The sequence below is a fragment of the Homo sapiens genome, chromosome 2 (assembly GCF_000001405.40).
Source record: "Homo sapiens chromosome 2, GRCh38.p14 Primary Assembly".
Classification (NCBI taxonomy): Eukaryota; Metazoa; Chordata; class Mammalia; order Primates; family Hominidae; genus Homo; species Homo sapiens.
The window spans coordinates 196,971,691-196,994,237 of record NC_000002.12 but is presented as its reverse complement, the minus strand read 5'-3'; the positions used below and the strand labels follow the sequence as shown (position 1 = coordinate 196,994,237).

General features: G+C 38.7%; 1 protein-coding gene across 15 annotated transcripts in view; it reads left to right on the top strand.

Moving 5' to 3' along the window:
• The window catches only part of ANKRD44 (ankyrin repeat domain 44), a 343,767-nt gene that overhangs the window by 316,543 nt on the left and 4,677 nt on the right, over positions 1–22,547 (top strand). For 5 of the 15 annotated variants that reach the window (NM_001367497.1, NM_001367495.1, XM_047446282.1 and 2 more), the window contains 2 exons: positions 564–655; positions 3,311–7,576. In NM_001367497.1, coding sequence (NP_001354426.1) covers positions 564–655; positions 3,311–3,558 — 340 coding nt within the window. In that variant the 3' untranslated portion in view covers positions 3,559–7,576. Of the gene's footprint in view, positions 1–563; positions 656–1,429; positions 3,092–3,141; positions 7,577–22,547 lie in introns of those variants that run through there. The other 10 variants (NR_160034.1, NM_001195144.2, XM_005246947.3 and 7 more) reach the window with 5 other exon arrangements.

The following is a 22,547-nucleotide window of genomic DNA, read 5'->3' as shown; positions in this document are numbered from 1 at the left end:
GCACTCCAGCCTGGGTGACAGAGTGAGACCCTGTCTCAAAAAAAAAGAAAAAGATTCTTAAGCAGTATATAGCACAATATACTGAGTTTGACATAATTCTTTAAGGTATTATAAATTCAGTAAAACATCTGTGTGCATTTAGTAGTAACAAGGAAGTTTGAAATTATACATATATATGACTGATATTAATGCCAGTCATATTGTTGAACTGTGTGAAACAGTGATTCAAATGCTGTGTTAGAAATCAAGCAGTAAAGGGCCTTCTGCAAAACACAACAAAGCTTGAGTTCTTCCTCTGTCTTCGTATTTACTGTCATTGAGATTGTTTGAGATGCAGAATATTTGTAATATCTGCAGCAAGATCTGGGCCAAACATACAACAACAGTTGGACCATTAGCACCTGGAAAAGATCTGGTCAGCATTTTTTTTTCTTAAGTAAAAACATCCATGTACTATTTGTAGAGTCTAAGTACTTCTTCCTTTTAGTGACATGGGCTAACAAAAATTCCACATTCTCACCCAAATATGTATCACAACTGATGCTCGGTCTTGTGTTTTTTAGACCCCTCCACGTCGCTGCGCGCAATGGCTTAAAGGTGGTAGTTGAGGAGTTGCTGGCCAAAGGGGCCTGTGTACTTGCTGTAGATGAAAATGGTAAGTGGAAAAAGTCAACAGCGACTGCAGGTACCTTCCATAAGCTAGTTGAAGCCAGAGGAAATGAGAAAGATAGGAGCTAGTATAAAAGGCACTTAAGAATTCTGTCCCCCTTGGAAGTCCTGTGTGTGAGAAATCAAGCAAGGATAACTTGTCCTGTCTGTCTTTTTGTAAATCACATAGTCTACCTGTAGGCCACCCAGTGCTGTCCATTTTGCATGTAATGCCAGCAGCTGGTCTCTAACTCCTCAGCACAGTGGTTAAAATATCTTAGACACACTAAGAGTTTCAAGTTGACACTCAAAATTTTAACTGCAAATGCTGAAGAGTTAGGGACTACACATGTCATTAATGCATGCTCAAGGGCTCAAATAAAAACCTGGATCTTTGATTGTATTTAAGTTCATTCTGAGATCAAACTTTTTTTTTCTTTAAGTACAGATCAGAACTCATATTCCCAGTATGGAAATGTGAGGAACAAGAGTAAAATTTCTTAATTAACGTCTAGGCTTGAAGCTTCCCCTGATCTGTATTAATGTTCCTTTCCTAATGAACTAATTCTTAACAGAAGCTTTCTACTCTGCTTCCTAAGAAATTTTGAAAGGAATGGCTACTAGAATTGTACTAAACTGCCATTTTAAGCACAATGCCTATTAACCTTGGGGAGCAAAAAAGGAACTTCTGGATGTTTATGAATTATGTAATTTTTAAAATGTGGCATTTAATTAAAGTATTATAATGTATTAATGTAACTCAATTAACTGCTTATTACAGGTATTGGAATTAGCAGCTCATGCCTATTTCTCAGAAGTAAGCAGCCATACTGATTATCATTAGCTAACTCTTATTAGTTTTGATTTTGCAGCCCCATGTATCCTAGCATGTACCCTGCTGTGTCCCCCACCTGACTCATCTAGGAAGTGCAGAAAGTTCCCTATTACTCCATTTCCTTGGTTTTCCCGCCTCACCTTCCCTCACCCTCTTAACACTACTGTAGACTTAGGGTTGGCCTGCAGAGGCCCACAGTTTTTCTCCAAAATGGTCAAAGAGAATAGAATAAATTAGTTTTGCTTTTCCTGGTGTAAATCTGCTGCATTGAAGGTTTGTTCAGCTGATAGTGACCTTAGGAACAAGAGCCCTGGGTTGGTGCGCACCTGCATCCCAAAGGCCTGGGAACGTTTGGGGCAATTTTATATAGCAGTACAACCATAATTCCTTTACTCATCACTGACTTTCGTGAAATGGAATGTTAAACTACCTGTTCATTCTTATTTGTTTTCATACCAGAAAAAGGAATGATGTCCTAAAGGGCAGGGTGGGGAGAGCAGGTCGAGTGATGATAAACAAAACAACAAAACGTTAAGTTTCATTGAGCCATTCCTCTGAATTACTGAGCAAGTGCCCTACTCACTGTGTAGTGGAAACTTTGGCCAGCTGAGAAGGCAGCTAACCCTTTTCAGGCCAGTAGGATAAAGGTTGGATAAGGAAATAATCAAGTCAAAGACTTAATCTACCTCCCCAAGGAACCTATATTATGAGTTAAGACAGTTTTCTTATCTGGATTGGATCCATTGAGTCTAAATGAGAATAACATGGTTCTAATTATGACAAGCATAGTAATTTTCTCACATCCATTACATTTTAGATTTGAGACTTTGATTGGTGAGTGGCCATTTTTAAATATTCTGTTAGGCCAGGTGTGATGGCTCACGCCTTTAATCCCAGGACTTTGGGAAGCCAAGGTGGGAGGATCGCTTGAGCCCAGGAGTTTGAGAACAGCCTGGGAAACATAGCAAGACCTTGACTCAAAAAAAAAAAACCAAAAAAAGAAAAAATCAGCCGGTAGTAGTGGCACACACCTATAGTCCCAGCTACTCGGGAGGCTGAGGTGGGAGGATTGCTTGAGCCCGGAAGACAAGGCTGTAGTAAAATCAAGGCCCCATGCCACTACAATCCAGCCTGGGTGACAGAGTGAAACTCTGTCAAAAAAAAAATTTGTTAAATTTCTCCTAAATGATTGTACATTTTTAATCACAAACAACCTGTGCTTTCCTGTCTCTGATCTACTGAAATGATTCCATTTTTCTAAAACCAGTTATTGGTGTCTATTTTCTATGAAGCATATATAAAGTGACAAAACTTCATTACTCACTTTTGCAGTCATCTAATTTTCAATATCTTTTCTAATTGGACACACAATTACCTAACAATGGAAAGTCATTGTTCTCAGAATGAGAGTCCTTCTCAGGCCCAGGCCTGAGGCTCATGGTGTGTGTGTGCTCTCAGGCGGAAACATCCTCCTGATTGTCCTGTTGCTGTTTATTGTGGAATTGTGTCCCACACCCACCCCCTTGTGTTTGTGTTCACTAAATGAAGGCTGGAATCCTGCCTAACTTTGGATGATATTGTGCTTGTCATAGTCATATGAGCTGAAAACAAAAATAAAAAGCCCTCCATAAAATGTCTCCCCCTCCCTCCCCCTCTAGCCTCACCCCTAGCATGACTTGTGAGAAGTAACTCCTCGTTTTACCTGGCATGATTTCTAACTCAACATACATCTCCGCCTGTGAGATCATCCGAGATGTACTGTGGAATGCTCGTGCCTCCTCTAGGCTCCCCAGGACTAACCACTGCCTTGTCTGCATTTACGCCCAGGTCATACCCCGGCCCTGGCTTGCGCTCCTAACAAAGACGTGGCTGACTGCCTGGCCCTCATTTTGGCTACCATGATGCCTTTTTCTCCTTCCAGTACAATGATGGCTGTCAACTTCGTTTGTTTAAAAAAAGACAATTTGAGCAGGACGACCCTCTCCAATCTGGGTAGCATGGTTAGCCTGTGCAGTAACAACGTAGGCTCGGAGGATGGGTACAATGAAAATGATTCTGATTCGGAAACGTTTTGACTTTGGACTGTAGAAGCTTTTCTTTGATCACCTGTGTTGGAGGAAAGGAAAGAAGCTTGAATTCCAGGTTTATGTTGTATTCAAGTATTATTTGGGGCCTGGGCTTCCAGAAGCTAGTAGAGAAGGAATTAATCGAGGGAGGGCAGTGAGGCTGTTGGGTGGAACAGTCACACAGATGGCCCCAGTTTTGTTTTGTTTCACATTTTCTTTAAATCTAAGATACTTCTGTGAAAGTCTACCTCTCATTTTAAATAAAGAATAAAAGATGTATTTAATTCCTGTTCTTTGGGGATAATGCAGCAGAGAGGCAGCTGTTCGCTATGAATAATTTTTCTTTTCATGTATTTAGCAGTGAGTTCTCAGAAGTATATCAGTGTGACATTCATGTCCCCTGGGAGGGAAGGGAAGAGGCAGATAGGAAATGCCTCAAACTTCTTCTCACTTTGATGTTTACTTCCTCACTAGAAGCCAAAGGTAAAGGTGTCCATCTTCAGAAATAATGCCTGTAATAATCTTTTTAGAGAGTCCAACTATTTATATCCTCTCTATAGTAAGCATTTGAATATCCAGAACTTCTTTCTGAGGATCTCTGTTAAAGTTGCCAGATGAATTGAAAAATTGAACTTGCTTTTTTTGTTTAACACAGTGTTCCCTATAACAAGCCTGTGACTAATTTTCACTTAAGTGATTGAACCCAAATTTATCTAATAACATTTCAGGTGAAAATTATATTGCACCAAAACTTTGACACAATATGCAAAAATAGTATGAAACTACCCTTTGTTAATTTATTCTTAAATCAAAATACTAACTTTTAAAAAACATCAGAATCATCAGCATTGTTCATCAGTAGTAAAATGAGCTTCTCAGTCAAGGTCATACCAAGTCAGTGAAAAGTGTGACTGCAAAAAGGAACAAAAAAAGTGAAAGCAGAAAGTAGAAATGGGTGATTTAGCATGTAAAACCGATTGCCAGTTGCTTGATGATGAAATCAACATAGTGAATACTGTGTCTGCTCCCTCTGCCAAAGCTTCTAGGTCAAATGGACCCCGTTCCACACCTGGAACCGCTGTACAAAAAGAAGAATGAGACTCTTTAAAAATTATGCACATACACATGCACACATATATGTGTGCGTGTGTATATATATATATATGTGTGTGTGTGTGTAGTTCATCAGCCAGCTACACATGAGGACCAAAATGCTTCAGTCTAAAATGGAAGATACACATTTTTTTCCTTCAAAATGCAAGTGAGAACTGAAGTAGCTTTTTTATGGAGTTAAATGTAATCTTTCTGTGTACCAGTCTTTGTTGTATTTTATATTTCTTAGGACACAGATTTCTAGTTGACCACTTAACATTTGTAACTGATGATGTGCTGACCTTTTTTTTTTTTTTTGCCAAACTAGAGAAAATGTCCATATACTTTTGCTGTAAATGTGTTTATATTTATTTGAAATGAAACAAATGGTGAGGAAACATCCATTATTTGTTCTCTATTTTAATTGCTATGTATCTTATTTAGAATAACAAAAAAAAAGTGAAAAAAAAAACACTTGACCCTGGGCTAGCCAAAAGCCCAAGGGCCAAACCTAGCATTTCCACTGCTAAGGTTTCCAGATGACCCTCAGGTTCTTCCGCGTTGGTTAGAGAGGGCTACGCATCTTCTACTGCTCAGCCACAGTCTGTAGCCAGCTTAGAGCTTAGAAGACATTGCAGTCTGGATGCCCTTCTGCGAGATGAAAACTCAGATGTGTAGTGGATCATATACACAAAGGCAGCACAAAGAAATATCTAGAAATTACCCTAAGTACACTGAAAAGCTCACATAGTCTCAGTAACCTGATGAGAAATGATGGCAGTGTGTGGGCACATGTGCCAAAAGGAGAAATAAAAATCACCAGCTCAAGTGCTATTTTCTACTTGAGGAAGAGACAGAAAAGAAATGTGTCGAATTAGAGCAGTACTCTCTGACGTTTTATAATGAGTTCCATTTCCACCCTGGAAATTGCTATTTTATAGTGTATGTGAGATATTTCAAAAATAATGTTCTATCATATCTGGATCAAAGACAGATAACTGTATTATATTTTTCATCTAGCTATAAAACTTTAATCTTACTCTTAATATCCTGGATTTAATTAAAACTCCTGTTGGGTTCTTCACAAATGAGAACTTGTTCAAAGGATTTATTGAACTGGTATTGATTTCACTGAAAATTTTCCACACCACCACCATTGTTTTTTTGAATTCTTGGTGTTGTGCTTCCCACCTTCTGTCCTTTTCGTTTGTTTAGAGAAGATGAATTTTTAAAAAGCAGATAAATTGCTAATGAGCAATAATGACCTTATCTTTACCAAAACACTGAAAATTAAGAGAGGTTCAGTGTTGAAGAAGCACAATATGCTGCGGTGTCTTTTTCTAGAAGTGAATGGAAATCTTGCTCAGTTGGCATTTCAAGCAGGAAATGAAATGCTTGCTTTAATGGCAAAGCAGCGTTAACATTTTTCCTGTCGTGTAGCAGAGAGTACAAGAATCATTTCAGCAAAGCAGTGACTCACCATGAGACGTTATCTCCATGGAGCTGCGTTTTGACTTTTCCCACTCTCTTACTCATAGAAGGAGGACAAAGGAACGAAATGAAATCATGCTCACAATGAACTGTTCATTACATCAACTGATCTCTCTCTCTCTCTCTTCCTCTCTTTCTCTTTCTCCCATACCCCAAGGCAAAATTTTTTTAAAGAAATGACTTTAAAAACTATCATTTCTGTATTTTAATTACATCTCTTAGAAATAAAATTATGTTTGCACCATAGCTTTCTAAGAAAAAAAAATGTGTTTTTAACTGAGTCTTAGTTGCTTAGTGCTTTTATTTGTGTTATTTTTAGACTGTATTTTAACCACAACTACAAGGATCATGTTTCATTGCACTTACTTATTTGCCAGTGTCTGCCTGTCTTTGCTAAATACATTACTATCTCCAAATTGCCTAAAATCTGCTATGATTCTACAGTAAATAGCTCAGGGTATTTCTATTTATCACTACTAAAAGGGCACCATAGTATGTTTTGGTACTTTAGGCAGTAAACACTGCTTGGTTTATCATTTTGTTATTAAATTAGAACAAGAACATCAAATGGATTTGCTGCACTAGTTATTCTTTGTACTGTTGAGCAACTTGGTGTGCTTATATGTTGTGTTGGTTGAAGAACTCATCCGTTTTATTGTCTTGTAATATGAAGTTAGAGTGCCTTTTTATATTTGTATATTCTGAAAATGTTCTGTGGAATGTTTTGTATTTTTTCATTTGAGTGTTATCAGAGCAATATGATACCAGTGAGTTTTCATTTCAACTTTTCTTTGAATGTATAAAGTGTCTTTTTTCCTATTTCCCCTTGTACTTGCATTGAAATGAATATGAAAATGCTTAAGTTTTCTATAGGAATTGTTTGATTTTGCAGTGCTAAAATGCTTTCGTCTTACGAAACTATAAACCATAGGTCAGTATTATAGGGGAAAAGCATTTTAAGATAGTGACAATCTGAGTGTTTGTATAAAATGTAATTCTATGCGTTTCTTATGTGATCTAAAAATTCAATGCAAATATCTTTTATTTGGTAGTTTTGTCTACATATTTTATGCTCTAGCATGTGCAATATATCTTTGTAAAGCACGATGATACAAATCTGGTGCCAGTGTTATATTTTGCATAACATATTTGTAACAGCATAAAATATTGTTTGATGATTTCAGTGGGATTTTGTCTATAATGTTTTCTTATGTAAATTGGAGTTGAATGACTCTGGTAAATGTCATGACTGTAAAAATGGGGAAAATGACTTTTAGTTCAGTGAATGACTTTGAAACAATCTGAATCTTCTCAAGCACAGTTTAATACTTTTGCAACTACTGAATGCTCTAATAACGTAATGAAGTACTTAACTGTAATATACTATGGAAATGCATTCAGATGGTTATTTTTACAAATAAAAACGGTACAAATATTGTTGGAATTTGTGTTTTAATTTTTCCAATTTATGCTTTTTCTAAATTATGCTAATTTAAATCTTTGCACCCCCTCAAGCCAAATTAACTTTAAATTTAGAAAATAATCAAGATAAAAGTGTATCTCCAGATTCACGATTTATGTTTGTGTTATCACAATTAGAGAAAAAATTCAAACATATATGCTTGTGTTTATTATATGTATTTATGCTTCCAACTTTTTTCCATAAAGGGTTTTGTTTTGTTTTGTTTTGTTTTGTTTTTTTCTGCTCTGTTGTCCAGGCTGATGGGCAGTTGTGAGATCTCGGCTCACTGCAGCCTCGACCTCCTGGGCTGAAGTAATCTTCCTACCTCAGCCTCCCGAGTAGCTGGGACTACAGATGTGCACCACTATGCCTAGCTAATTTTGTTTTTTTGTAGAGATGGGGTCTCACTATATTGCCCAGGCTGGCCCATAAAGGATTTGAGCTGGGTTATGACAAAAGACGTGATAAACTAGAAATAGAAAAATGAGAACAGAGAAAAAGAATACAAACAGATAAAGGAACCATAAAATTTAAAACAGTATCTGTGACTGAACTTGTGTTTGCTCTCAGCTTCCTTGCAGCCAAGGTAAGAGGAGAAATGTGATCAGTTATATAGTCCACATCAAAAAAGAGGAAGCTTATTAGGTCCTCAAAATTGTGAAATCAACCATGCCTAACTTTGGTATTGTCACCATTACCCTTCAGGGACTTTATAACAACACAAGAACCTCCATCTCTGCACTATCCTTAAAGGTATCCATAGAATTTCCTTCCCCATCTATCTCACCATCCAAAATTTTTCATCTTGAGTAGTAACTTCAGGGACAGTCTCTGGAAGCACTAAGGAACAAATTCCTAATGATGGAGTTTCCAGCTATTGACGAAGAGACTTGGGGGTGGTGCCTGCCTGAGTTCCCCAAATCAAGTAGTATAGAATGTTAGCAGTTATTACAGTCCAGCCCAGTCACATCACCAGCTCTTTCAGGAAGAAACTGAATCCTAGAGAAGTTATACAACTTGAATTTTTGAAGATAGTGATCTGATGATACCACATCTGCCTCTAGATGTTCTCTCTTCGATGCCATCTTGCCATATAATGTTTTGTTTTTTTCTGCCAGAAATGTTAAGGGAGGTTTTGTACTCAGCCCTGCCTCCCTTCTTATTCAAATATACAAATCTGGGTGCTTTTCAATCTTAAAGAATGTAAAACAGGAGTCACACCACAAGTGAGTGCTTCCTGTTGTTTAGAGTAGACTGGGTATATTAGTTATCTATTGCTGTGTAACAAATTACCCCAAAACTTAGTGGCTTAAAACAACAAATGTTTCCTAACCCACAGTTTCTATGAGTCAGCCCTAGTTTAGCTGGGTCTTCTGTTCCAGGGTCTCTCACAGCCTGTAATCATGGTGTTGGCCTGGGAACGATCCATTTCTAAGTTCACTCATATGGTTGTTGGCAGGATTCTTCTCATGGGTTGTTACACTGAGGGCCTCAGTTCCTTGATGGCTGTTGGCTGCCGTCCGTTCCTTGCCAGATGGGCCTTCCCATAGGGAAGCTCACAACATGGCAGCTTGCCTTGCGGGCGAGCAGGCTGAGAAAAGCCAGGGAGACAAAGAGCAAGACAGAGTCACAGATTTTTGCAACTGAATTTCAGAAGTGATATTTCATCATTTTTCTCATATTCTATTCATGAGAAGCAAGTTACTAAGTCCAATCTATACTCAAGGGCAAGGGATTCCCCAAGGGTGTGAACAGCAGGAACAGCAATTACTAGGAGCCATTTTTGGAAGCTACTCGCCACCCTGGTCTATCACGGTGTCCTTTGAGGCTGTAACATCATACTAATACACCTTCTTCCCAGTCATTGCTAAGGAAATTGCTTGCTTGACTGACTGAACTCACCCTTTCAAGGAAAATGTAGAGATCCCTAATTTTAATTGTGTTCTCATAAGCAGAGAAATGTGATAATGGCCTCCACTGTGGTAATTATATTTTTGAACATTGATGTGGCACTTTGTCTTCAAACTGCTTGTCAAAGGTTCCTTCACGCTAATTCCATTTGGTAGGTTTAGATCCCTGTATAAGTATCCCTCACTTAACACACTTAATGTGTTCCAGAATTAGTTTGCAAAGCACAAAAGCATTAAGCTAAAAGGCTATTAACATAAAAACATTGTGGGTAAAAGTACTATATGAATTGTCTCTTTAGCAAATTTCATCCTGAAGGTACATTTGCTGTAAAATATAAAGCACCAAGATAATGGCTGTGCCATTCATTAATTCTCAGGCACTCTAGGGAGTGATTGGAAATGTGTGGGCATTTGTAGTTGGCACAATGGCTGGGGGGTGGGCAGGGCTGCTACTAGAGTATTTATAGTTCCAAGCGCCAGGGAGACCAAATGTGCCACTCAACCCAGGGAATAACTGCGCCACTTAGAATGTCAATGCTCCTCTACCCCACTGCTCACCTATTTGCCTTTCTCTTGTTTCTGAATCATTTCTTCATCAATGTATTGCTTATGACACTAGCCATATTGCCTCATCTATTTTCACAAGGGATTGCATAAACATACTTTATATGCCCTCAGAACGAGAACTTACAAGGTTGAGAAAGAACTTTGGAAGGCAATGCTGAGCACATGTGCCCTGGTTATGTATTTTTCCAGGGGAGAAGATTTGCACAGATCAAGGCATCTTTAATTCCTTTGTTATCAAACCAAAATGTGGCCATACACATGTATATTTCTTGTCTTAAGCAAGAGGTGATTGTATCTACTTTCCCAGTGGGGGGAACTCCTGCTCACAAAGGTGGGGCACTTGGCCCACCGTCACATGGCAAGCTCTGACAACACAGTACTTCAGCCTCACAGGGTTCTCTAGGCACTGGTGGACACAATTTCTAGGATACTATTTTCTGCTTTTAAATGTCAATTTAATGAAGTACTGTGTATTACATTCTGGAAGAATTTTATAATTTTCAAAAGTAAAAATACTGAAGCAGTACTTTTAGAGCACAAAAAGCTTACCTGTGTTTGCATTGAGTTGAAAGTACCCAGCAAATTCGTGAACTTTATTTATATTTTTTATAGTTGGGGTTCCTAAGAATTACTAACATTTAAACTCAGATCCTAACCACAAGAAATTACCAGCTATGCAAAGATCAGAGGAGAGAACATTCTAGGGAGAGGAAAAGGCTAGTGCCAATACCCAAAGGCAGGAATGAGTTTGTTATGTTCTAGGAACAGAAATGGGGCCAGTGTGGCTGGAGACTCAAGGGAAAGGGAGGGTGGCAGAAGATTAACAGCGATCTCAGCCCAGACATAAAATTTTGTGAGCTGGGAGGAGTTTCTATATTTTTCTGAATGTGACAAAAGCCACTGGAGAAATGTAAGCAGAAAAATGGCTGTGGTCTGATTTTTTTTTTCTGTCATTTTTATTTTTTATTTTTTATTTTTATTTTAAGTTCTGGGGTACATGTGCAGAACATACAGAATTGTTACATAGGTATACATGTGCCATGGTGGTATGCTGCACCTATCAACCCGTCATCTAGGTTTTAGGCCCCGCATGCATTAGGTATTTGTCCTAATGCTCTCCCTCCCCTTACCCCAACCCACCAACAGGCCCTGGTGTGTGATATACCCCTCCCTGTGTCCATGTGTTCCCATTGTTCAACTCCCACTTATGAGTGAGAACATGTGGTGTTTGATTTTCTGTTCCTGTGTTAGTTTGCTGAGAATGATGGCTTCTAGCTTCATCCATGTCCCTGTAAATGACATGAACTCATTCTTTTTTATGGCTGCATAGTATTCTATGGTGTATATGTGCCACATTTTCTTTATCCAGTGATTTCATTTTTAAAAGATCACTCTGGCTGCTGTTGAGAGACAAGAGAGAGAAACCCTAGTGACCAATTAGGTAGCCACTGCAATAGCCTAGACAAGTAAATATAGTGGCTTGGATTGTCTGGCAACAAGGGAAATGAAGAGACTGTGACACATTTTGGATATGTCTTGAAGGTAGAGTTGACTGAATTTGCTGATGGCTTGAGTCAAGTAAACAGTAGAGTTTGGGGAAGAAGCCAGGGCTGGGATCATATGAAATTGTAGACATGTGAAAGTTGATTTGGAGTCATTCCTGTCCTACCCAATGAAAATGGAGTCAAGGAGCCTTTGTTGGGAAAGAGCACTCTGGTCACAAACGTCTTCCAAAAACTGTCTCGCAAGTTTACTCCAAGGAAACAGCCTGCTATGACTTCAAGGCGAACTTTACCTAGCAGTTGCTGCCACCTGCCAATCAGAGCTCACCAGCGCCCACTCTGCTATCGCCAATTAACTTTCTTTGAAAACAACTTACATCTTCTTTCTCCTTTCCCAATAAAACTCCAGCCCTTTCCTTTGTTCTTTGGACACACTGGAAACTGCCCTGGTCTCTGTGTGCATGTCCTTATTGCAAGCCTACTTTCTGTATATTACTCTCAAATAAAATCCTCTTGCTTAGAGATTTGTCTCTGCATATATATATATATATATATAATTTTTTTTAGTATTGACAAATGAGAAGAGATTCCCTCAGGAATAAATGATAGAAGAGCCCTGAACTGTGCACACTCCAGCATTTAGAGGTTAGGAAGGGGAGGAGGAGGATCTAGCAGCGAAGACAAGACATAATGGTCAGAGGCAGGAGGAAAACCAAGAGACCAAGATGTCCCTGAAACCTGGGAAATAAAGGGTCATAGAAGAAGGAGTGTCAGTGATTTCTATTGTCTCAATTGCTTCTGGGAAGTCAAATGCAGAGAAGTTGACCAATGGATTTGGCAAGATAGAGTTCATTTATGTATTTATTTTATTATTATTATTATTTTGAGATGGAGTTTCACTCTTGTTGCCCAGGCTGGAGTACAATGGTGCGATCTCAGCTCACTGCAACCTCCACCTCCAGGGTCAAGCGATTCTCCTGCCTCAGCCTCTCAAGTAGCTGGGACTACAGGCACACACCACCACACTTGGCGGATTTTTAAAAAAATTTTTAGTAGAGATGGGGTTTTGCCATGTTAGCCAGGCTGGTCTCGAACTCCCAACCTCAGGTGATCCACCTGCCTCAGCCTCCCACACTGCTGGGATTATAGGTGTGGGCCACCACGCCCAGCCTGGAGAGAACATTTTAGAGTAACAGAGGAGGGTTACTGAGTAGGATTTAGTACACTCAAGATTTATAATCATAAATCTAAAATGATACCAGTCATCCTGGTGGATTTTTTCATCAGATGTTTGGGTGTAGGCATAGAGTAAGAAGACAGTGGAATTTAACCTGGTATAGAGCTTTGCTAGGTAAGTCCAAAGGGAGAGAGGGTTATGGAACTGTGGTGCTTTTAATGGATGTGATTATGTAGATCATGGATTCTAAACTGGGTAAGGAAGAAAGTGAAAACATGAGGGAGGTGATGGATACTGAAAAAGTGGTAGTCAATGGGGGTCAGGATAAGACAGAATTATTGAATTGTAGCCCCAGAGTTGGTGATCTTGATGTGGAGTGCCCAAAGTAAAGATTTCACAGGTGGTATAGTTTTGAGGATGACAAAGCAAAGGATATAACCATGGGAGTGGGTGGTTGAGAATGACTGAAGAAAAAAAAGCATTGGATGTGAAGAAGTAAAAATCTGAGGAGGCCAACATGACAAATAGGAAAAGCTATTTATCATAGAATTGAAGCAAAATAAATGAGAACATTTAACTACTTCAAAACATCTATTATTCAGGTATTTTACTTTAAGTAGATGGATACTAAGAGCTGATTTACTGTCAGGCTGAAATTCGGTTCCAGGATTAGGATGAAGCTTTTAACAAAGTAAAAATGGTCAAGTGCATTTCTATTAAAAAACTAACCAAACCTTGGCTATGACAGAATGACAGGTTTTATGACCATATGGTTTAACCTAAATGTGTTTATGAGGCTCTCCAGAAAACATGACAGATGGCAAAGAGCTGCAGAATGAACAAAAGGAGAGTGTGGTTCAGACAACGTCTTAGTGATAACAATGAAAAATTGAATACTTCCCAGCGGGCCTTCTGCAGAGGACAAAAGACTGAAATTATTGGAATTCTATATTGCTGTTTAGGTGAAAATTAAATTTGCTTTAAAACATTAACTTTTCCTGAAAAATCTCAATTTTAAACTAAATAAATAGAAAGCTAACGGGTTTCTAATTCCCTTTTGAATTTCTTTTTTTCAGAAATGATTTATCCATTCCATGTTTTATTTCACATTCTTCTTCAGGCCTGAAATTTACTCCTTACTGTTTTATTATTACTTAAAACTTGTAAAAAATTTTGTTAGGAGAATGTTACCTGGTAATTTATTGATTTTCTGCTTAACTTCATTCACAAGGGTCTACCCATTAGCATGTAAATTTTGATTAGGCTGCTGAGCCCATTTCCTTTTGGCATCAGTGCTAAAAATGATGATAAAGGGCTCGGTTGGTGCCATCTGGGTGCTTGCATTGTGATGTTACAGCTAACACTAGAAATTAGATTGAGAAAACCAATTAATTTACTGCAATGTCATTCAGATATTGAAAAAGAAAAGCCTTTCAGAGTGCTAACAATAGTTCCTAGAGATAAGAACATATTTTCTAGTGTATATTAATGATCATTTTCCTTGCCGCCAGCCTGGTGATCTGAGAGTGTCCTGGATGGTGTGGAGCAGGGGACAGTGTTGCTAAGATGCTGGTTGTGACAAAAACCTTTAAAAACCTTTAAACTGCAAATAAAAATCACCTTATTGGCCGGGCACGGTGGCTCATGCCTGTAATCCCAGCACTTTGGGAGGCCTAGGTGGGCAGATCACCTGAGGTTGGGAGTTCGAGACCAGCCTGACCAACATGGAGAAACCCTGTCTCTACTAAAAATACAAAATTAGCCGGGTGTGGTGGCACATGCCTGTAATCCCAGCTACTCGGGAGGCTGAGGCAGGAGAATCACTTGAATTGGGAGGCAGAGTTTGTGGTGAGCCGAGATTGCATCACTGCACTCCAGCCTGGGCAACAAGAGCCAAACTCTGTCTTAAAAAAAAAAAAAAAAAAAAAAAAAAGTCATCTTATTAAATTACTCAGGCTGCTTTTTAATTGGGGTGAATAGTAAAAATAGCTGATGCTCACTGAGTGCTTACAATGTGCCAAGCACTGTTCTGAGTGCTTTACATCCTTAAAACAACCCTAGAAAGTAGATGCTATTCATTCTTTTTTTTTTTTTTTTTTTTTTTTGAGACGGAGTCTCGCTCTGTCGCCTAGGCTGGAGTGCAGTGGCGCGATCTTGGCTCACTGCAAGCTCCGCCTCCCGGGTTCACGCCATTCTCCTGCCTCAGCCTCCCGAGTAGCTGGGACTACAGGTGGCTAATTTTTTAAAATATTTTTAGTAGAGACGGGGTTTCACCGTGTTAGCCAGGATGGTCTCAATCTCCTGACCTCGTGATCCGCCCGCCTCGGCCTCCCAAAGTGCTGGGATTACAGGCGTGAGCCACCGTGCCTGGCGCCTGCAGATGCTATTCATTCTTACATCTACTCTAGAAGGTAGATATTATTATTATCTCAAGAACTCATGGCTAATTAGTGCCAGATCTAGGATTCAAATCTAGTCAAGTGGCTCCAGAATTAATAATCTTTACGACTATGCTATATCTATTTTGGAAAGAAAACAAAATGCTTGATGTTACTATTATTTTCTTTTTTGTCGCCTTTTTTTTTTTTAAAACAATATCGGATGGCCTTTCTTCAGGGTCTGTAAATATTGGTTACAACAGAGAGTTGGTAAACTATGGCCCATGGTTCAAAATCAGCAGCCATTAAAAAAGAAAAAAAAAAGCTCCATTGAGATATAATTGACATAACATAAAATTCGCTCTTTTAAAGGATACACGTTGATGGTTTTTAGTGATTTTAAAAAGTTATGTAACCATCACTACTATCTAATTTCAGAATATATTCATCACCCCAGAAAGAAAAACTGTCCCCATTAACAGTCATTCTCTATTCTCTCTCTCTCCCCATCCCCTGGCAACCAATAATTACTTTCTGTTTCTATGAATTTGCCAATTCTAGACATTTCATGTAAATGAAATAATACACTATGTGGCTCTTTGTGACTGGCTTCTAAGCAGAATGTTTTCAGGGTTCATACATGTCTTAATATATGTGTTAGTCTCTTCTTGCATTGCTATAAAGGAATACCTGAGATTGGGTAATTTATAAAGAAAAGTGGTTTATTTTGGCTCATGATTCTGCAGGCTGTACAGGAAGCATGGTGCTGGCAGCTGCTTCTGGTGAGGGCCTCAGGAAGCTTCCAATCATGGTGGAAGGTGAAGGGGGAGCAGGAGAGAGAGGGGAGAGGTGCCACACTCTTTTAAACAAGCAGGTCTCCTGTGAACTCAGAGCAAGAACACACTCATTATTTTAAGGACAGCACCAAGCCATTTATGAGGGATCTGCCTCCATGACCCAAACACCTCCCACCAGGCCCCCCTCTAACATTGGGGATTATAGTAATATTGCAACATGAGATTTGGAGGGAACAAACATCCAAACTGTATCAGCATATAGAGGTGCTTCATTTCCTTTTATAGTCAAATAATATTTAATTATATGGATATACCACATTTTGTTTATTCATTCATCAGTTGGTGGACATTTGGGTTTTGTTTTTGTTTTTTTACTTTTGAGCGATCATGAATAACTCTGCTATAAACATTTGTGTACAGACTTTTTTATGGACATATGTTTTGATTTCTTGTGTATATACCTAGGAGTGGAATTGTGTATATATCTAGGAGTGGAAATGGTAACTCTATGTTTATCATTTTGAGGACCTGCCAAACTGTTCCGCAGAGGCTGCCAAACATTCCCATCAGCAATGTATAAGAGTTCCAATTTCTCTACCTCCTTGCCAGTACTTCTTATTCCTCATTTATTTTTATTATGGCCATCCTAGTAGATGTGAAGTGATATCTCATTGTGGTTTTCACTTGCACTTTCCTGCTGACTAATGATGTCAAGCACCTTTCTGTGTGCTTATTGGACATTTGTATATTTTCTTTGGACAAATGTATGTTCAAATCCTTTGCCCATTTTTAAATCACGTTGTGTTTTTATTGGTGAATTATAAGCATTATTTATATATTCTGAATACAAGTCCCTTATCAGATACAGGATTTGCAAATATTTTCTCCCATTCCATGGGTCGTTTTTTCCTTTTCTCGACAGTATCCTTTGAGGCACAGAAGTCATATTTTTGGTGTCATATCTAGAAAACCACTGTCTACTTCAAAGTCATGAAGATTTACTCCTATGTTTTCTTTTAAGAATTTTATAGATTTAGCTCTTATACTTAGAATCTGTAGATCAATTTGGGAAGTATTGCCATTTTAACAGTATTAGGTTTTCTGGTCCATGAACATGGGATGTCTCTCCATTTATTTTAAGTCTTTCTTTCAACAGTGCTTTCTAGTTTTCAGTATACAAGTTTTGCACTTATTTTGTTAAATTCATTCCTAAATATTTTATTCTGTTTGATGTTGTTGTTAAGGGAATTGTTTTCTTAATTTTATTTTCAGATTGTTCATTGCCAGTATATAGAAGTACAATTGTTTTTTAAAAATTGATCGTTTATCCTGCAACCTTGCTGAGCTTGTGAACACTAATAGTTTTTCAGTGGAAAAACTATTCCTTAGAGCCCTCCCTCCCTCCCTCTCTTCTTTCCTGCCTTCCTTCCTTCCTTCCTTCTTTTGAGACAAGATCTCACTCTGCTGTCCAGGCTGGAGTGCAGTGGCATGATCATGGCTCACTTTAGCCTCGACTTCCTGGGCTCAGGTGATCCTTCTGGCTTCAGCCACCCAAGTAGCTGGGACTACAGGCGTGCACCACCACGCCCTGCTAATTTTTGTATTTTTTTGTGGCGATAGGGTTTTGTCATGTTGTGCAGGCTGATCTTAACTCCTGGGCTCAAGCAATCCACCTGTCTTGGCCTCCCAAAGTGCTGGGATTACAGGCATGAGCCACTGCACCCAGCTGGATTCCTTAAAATTTTCTACATGTAAGAAAAATTTTCTACATGTCATCTGCAAATAGGGATAGTTTTACTTCTTTTCCAATCTGTATAGGATGATTACTTTTATAGCTTTTATTACTTTTTTTGACTAATTTCCCTGGCTAGAACCTCCACTATAATGTTGAATAGATGTGGTGTGAGTGACATTCTTACCCTGTTCCTGATCTTAGGGGGAAAGAATCCAGTCTCCCACTATTAAATATAATTTTGGCAAAACCCAGTCTCTACTAAAAATACAAAAAATTAGCCAGGCGTGGTGGCTGGTGCCTGTAGTCCCAGCTACTCGGGAGGCTGAGGCAGGAGAATTGCTTGAACCTGGGAGGCGGAGGTTACAGTAAGCCAAGATTGCGCCACTGCACTGCACTCCAACCTGGGCGACAGAGCGAGACTCCATCTCAATATATATATAATATATTTTGTTTACCATGGGTTTTTCACAAATGTCCCTGATCAGTTTGAAGAAATTTTTTCTATTTCTAGTTTCTCGAGTGTTTTTATTAAGAAAAGGGGTTCAATTATATGTTCAGTCAGCTGGTATACATAGGATAAATCCTACTTGATCATGGTGTATAATAATTTTTATATGTTGTTGGATTCTATATGCTAATATTTTGTTGAGGACTTTTGTAACTATATTCATAAGGGATATCAATTTCTTTTCTTGATGTGTCTTTCTTTCTCTTTTCTTTCTTTCCTTCTTTCCTTCTTTCTTTCTTTCTTTCTTTCTTTCTTTCTTTTTTCTTTTTCTTTTTTTTTTTTGAGACAGAGACTAGCTCTGTCACCCAGGCTGGAGTGCAGTTGCACAATCTCGGCTCCCTGCAACCTCCAGCTCCCAGGTTCAAGCAGTCATGTCTTAGCCTCCTGAGTAGCTGGGATTACAGGTGTGTGCCACCACACCTGGCTAATTTTTGTATTTTTTTTAAAAAAAAAAAACAGTGTGACACCGTGCTGGCTAGGCTGGTTTTGAACTCCTGGCCTCACGTGATCCACCTACCTCGGCCTCCCGAAGTGCTGGGATCACAGGCGTGAGCCACCGCACCCAGCCCCTTTTGACGTATTTTTCTTGTTTTGGTGTGATGGTAACGCTGGCCTCAAAGAATAAGTTCAGAAATGTTCCTTCCTCTTCTATTTTGAAAAAGATTTTTATCATTCTGATTCTGTTTGAAAGTTGATAGAATTTACCAGTGAAGTCATCTGGTGTTGGGATTTTCTTTGTGGGTTTTTTTGTTTGTTTTTATTGCTAACTCAATTTCTTTACTTGTTAGAGATCTATTATCTATTTCTTCTTGAGTCAGTTTCAGCAATTTGTGTCTTTCTAAGAATTTGTCTATTCACACAGATGATCTAATTTGTTGTACTATACAATTTTTCATAGTATTCCCTAATCCTTTATGTTGCTGTAAGGTTAGTAGTAATGTCCCCTCTTTCATTTCTGATTTGACTAATTTGAGTCTTTTCTCCTTTTCTTCTTTAGTCGTGGTAGAAGTTTGTCACTTTTGCTGATTTTTCAAAGAACCAACTTGTGTTAATTTTCTCTATTGTTTTTCTGTTCTCTATTTCATTTATTTTTGTTATTTGTAATTAATCTTTATTATTTTATTTCTTCTGCTTACTTTGGGTATAGTTTACTCTTCGTTTTCTTTTTCTTTTTTTTTTTGAGATGGAGTCTCACTCTGTCACCTAGGCTGGATTGCAGTGGCATGACCTCAGCTCACTGCAACCTCTGCCTCCTGGATTTAAGAGATTCTCCTGCCTCAGCCTCCCAAGTAGCTGGGCTTACAAGTGTGTGTCACCATGCCCAGCTAATTTTTGTATTGTTAGTAGAGACAGGGTTTCAACATGTTGGCCAGGCTGCTCTCAAACTCCTGACCTCAGGTGATCTGCCTGCCTTGGCCTACCAAAGTGCTGGGATTACAGGCATGAGCCACGGCACCTGTCCTCCTTTTTTATTTTCTTAAGGTTGTTAGGTTATTGAATCTTAATATAAAATATTCTTTTTAAATATAGGTGTTTACAGCTATAAATTTTCCTCCTAGCATTGCTTTAGTTACATCCCAGATGTTTTGGTATATTGCATTTTCATTTTCATTGTTCTCAAAATATTTTCCAATTTCCTTTGTAACTTCTTCTTTGACTCACTGGTCATTAAGGAATATGTTGTTTTGGCCAGGCTCAGTGGCTCATACCTGTAATCCCAGCACTTTGGGAGGCTGAGGCAGGCAGATCACTTGAGCTCAGGAGTTCAAGACCAACCTAGGCAACATGGCAAAACCCCGTCTCTACAAAAAACACAGAAATTAGTCAGGCATGGTGGTGCACCCCTGTAGTCCCAGCTACTCAGGAGGCTGAGCAGGGAGGATTGCTTAAGCCTCGGAGATAGAGGCTGCAGTGAGCCATGATCATGCCACTGCACTCTAGCCTGGGCAACAGAGCAAGAGGCTGTCTCAAAAAAAAAAAAGAGTATGAGAGTATGTTGTTTAATTTCCACATATTTGTGAAATTCCCAAATTTCCATCTCGTACTGATTTCTACTTTCATTCCATATGGCAAGAGAATATACTTTGTATGATTTCAATACTTTAAAGTTTATCAAGGCTTATTTCAATGTCAACTTAAGAAAGGGCTTCACAGATAACATAAAAGTCTAATAACCATGGTGGGTCTCAGTGTAGAGATGTATGTTTAACGTCATGAAACTCAGTGGAGACTAGTTTAATAAATTATGGCAATAGAATGCAATAGGAAATCATGGAAGTTTTAAAAGGAATGATATGGTCTGTATATAAAGATATGTTATTAAGTAAACAAATAAGAATAGACAGTGAGTATAGTTTGCTGCCATTTGTGAATATAAACAAGCATGAGAGGGGGATACACATATAGAGAGAATATTCCCTTATAGGCAATAAGGAAACTGTTACCAGTGTTTCCTCTAGTGAGAAGAACTGGGAAAACCAGGGTTAGGGATGAAAAGGAGACTTATTTTCACTGAATATCCTTTGATGTTGTTCAAAGATTTTTTTAAATCTCCGGTTCATGTGCATCCTTTGCGTGGGGAGATACTGTAAGCAGAAGTAATAAATTAAAAGATTGATATATTTGATTATATAAAAATGTGAAATTTTGGATGGTAATATCATCATAAGCAAAGTTAAAGTCAAATGATAGAAAGGGAAATATTTTTAATAAAAATGATAGTTTAAAGTTTAATATCTATAATATATTAAGAGATTGTATAAAGTGATAGGAAAAACACAGAAAACACAATTTTAAAAATAGGAAAAGGATATAAATTAATACTTTACAGAAAAAGAAATCTAAATATTCAAAAAGTATATTTTATAATCTCAACATCAATGATAGTCAGGGAAATCCAAATCAAAGATAATGGCATACTATTTTTCACCCAAAATATTGAAAACAGTGATAATAAATGGTGCTGGCTGAAAAACAGGAACTCTCCTACAGTGGTAGTGGGTATAGGAATTGCTCCAATGGGGGTAATACTTTATTTCATCAAATCTAAGATAGCAATTGAAGGATGCACCTTTATTTTATCTAAGGAAGAAAAACACTGCCAATTAAACTATGACACAATGCTTTCTGCTCTTTAATTATAAGATGCATCCCAATTTCAGGGATGCTAAATGTGAATGATAAAATCTGGTAAGATTTCAATATCCATTAACATTAGAATTATACATACCCTTTCAACAAGCACTCATACTTTAGGGAATCTATGCTGGAGAAAGAGAAATAAGCAAGGTGATATTTAAGATATTTAACAACTAGTATGATGCAGATACCTACCAATCAGAAAAAAATCCTAATCAAAAGAGACACCGACTAGTAGGCCTGCCCCTAACATTCTCAAGTCCTGGGCAGGCTACAAATATAGACTTGCATATCAGCTATTATATACTTAAACTTTGCTGTAAATTCAAGCTAAAAATCTGTTAAATCAAATATGTTCTATCACCATATTTTGACAAACATCCCTTCATGACAACCTGCAAGAACTATTCAAATTTAAAATTATTGCCCTGGCCAGGCATGGTGGCTAACACCTATAATCCCAGCACTTCGGGAGGACAAGGTGGGTGGGTCACATGAGGCCAGGAGTTCGAGACCAGCCTGGCCAACATAAGGAAATCCTCTCTACTAAAAATACAAAAATTAACCGGGCGTGGTGGCACACGCTTGTAGTCCCAGCTGCTCAGGTGGCTGAGGCATGCGAATTGCTTGAACCTGGGAGGTGGAGGTTGCAGTGAGCTGAGATTGCACTACCATACTCCAGCCTGGGTAACAAAGCGAGATCCTGTCTCAAAAAATAATATAAAATAAAATTATTGCCCTTCTCTGACCATGGTAGCACTGGGAAGGTAGCCTCCCATCTTCAACCTGTGGCTCATGACTCACCCTCATTGTCTTCCTACTCCTATCCTCCTCCCTCACTGAGAGGAGTCTTGCATGTAGTCATACAAACCCCCAGCCTGCATGACCAAGCTCTGTCTGTACCCTCAAACACTCCTTGGCTACACTTGAGGCCTAGAGGTGTTTGCAGTGGTGGCGCAGGCTTCCCTCAAGAGGACAGAGCTGGGATAGAGATCCATGCAAGCCTGTAAGTGGGCTCAGGACCTCTGAGTAGGCTATTTCATCATCTTGGGTATAAAACTAGTCAAAAAGGGGGTCACAGACTACAATTGGATGCATCCCCTTTGGCTCACAGACTCCTTGCCCCATGGGGAGAGCCTGAACTGGAGGAGGGCCAGGGCAATTGTCTTCTAGCAGGGGGCCCAGGTCTAAGAGTTTTACTAGCAGGGGGCCCAGGTCTAAGAGTTTTACTGCTAGCCAGT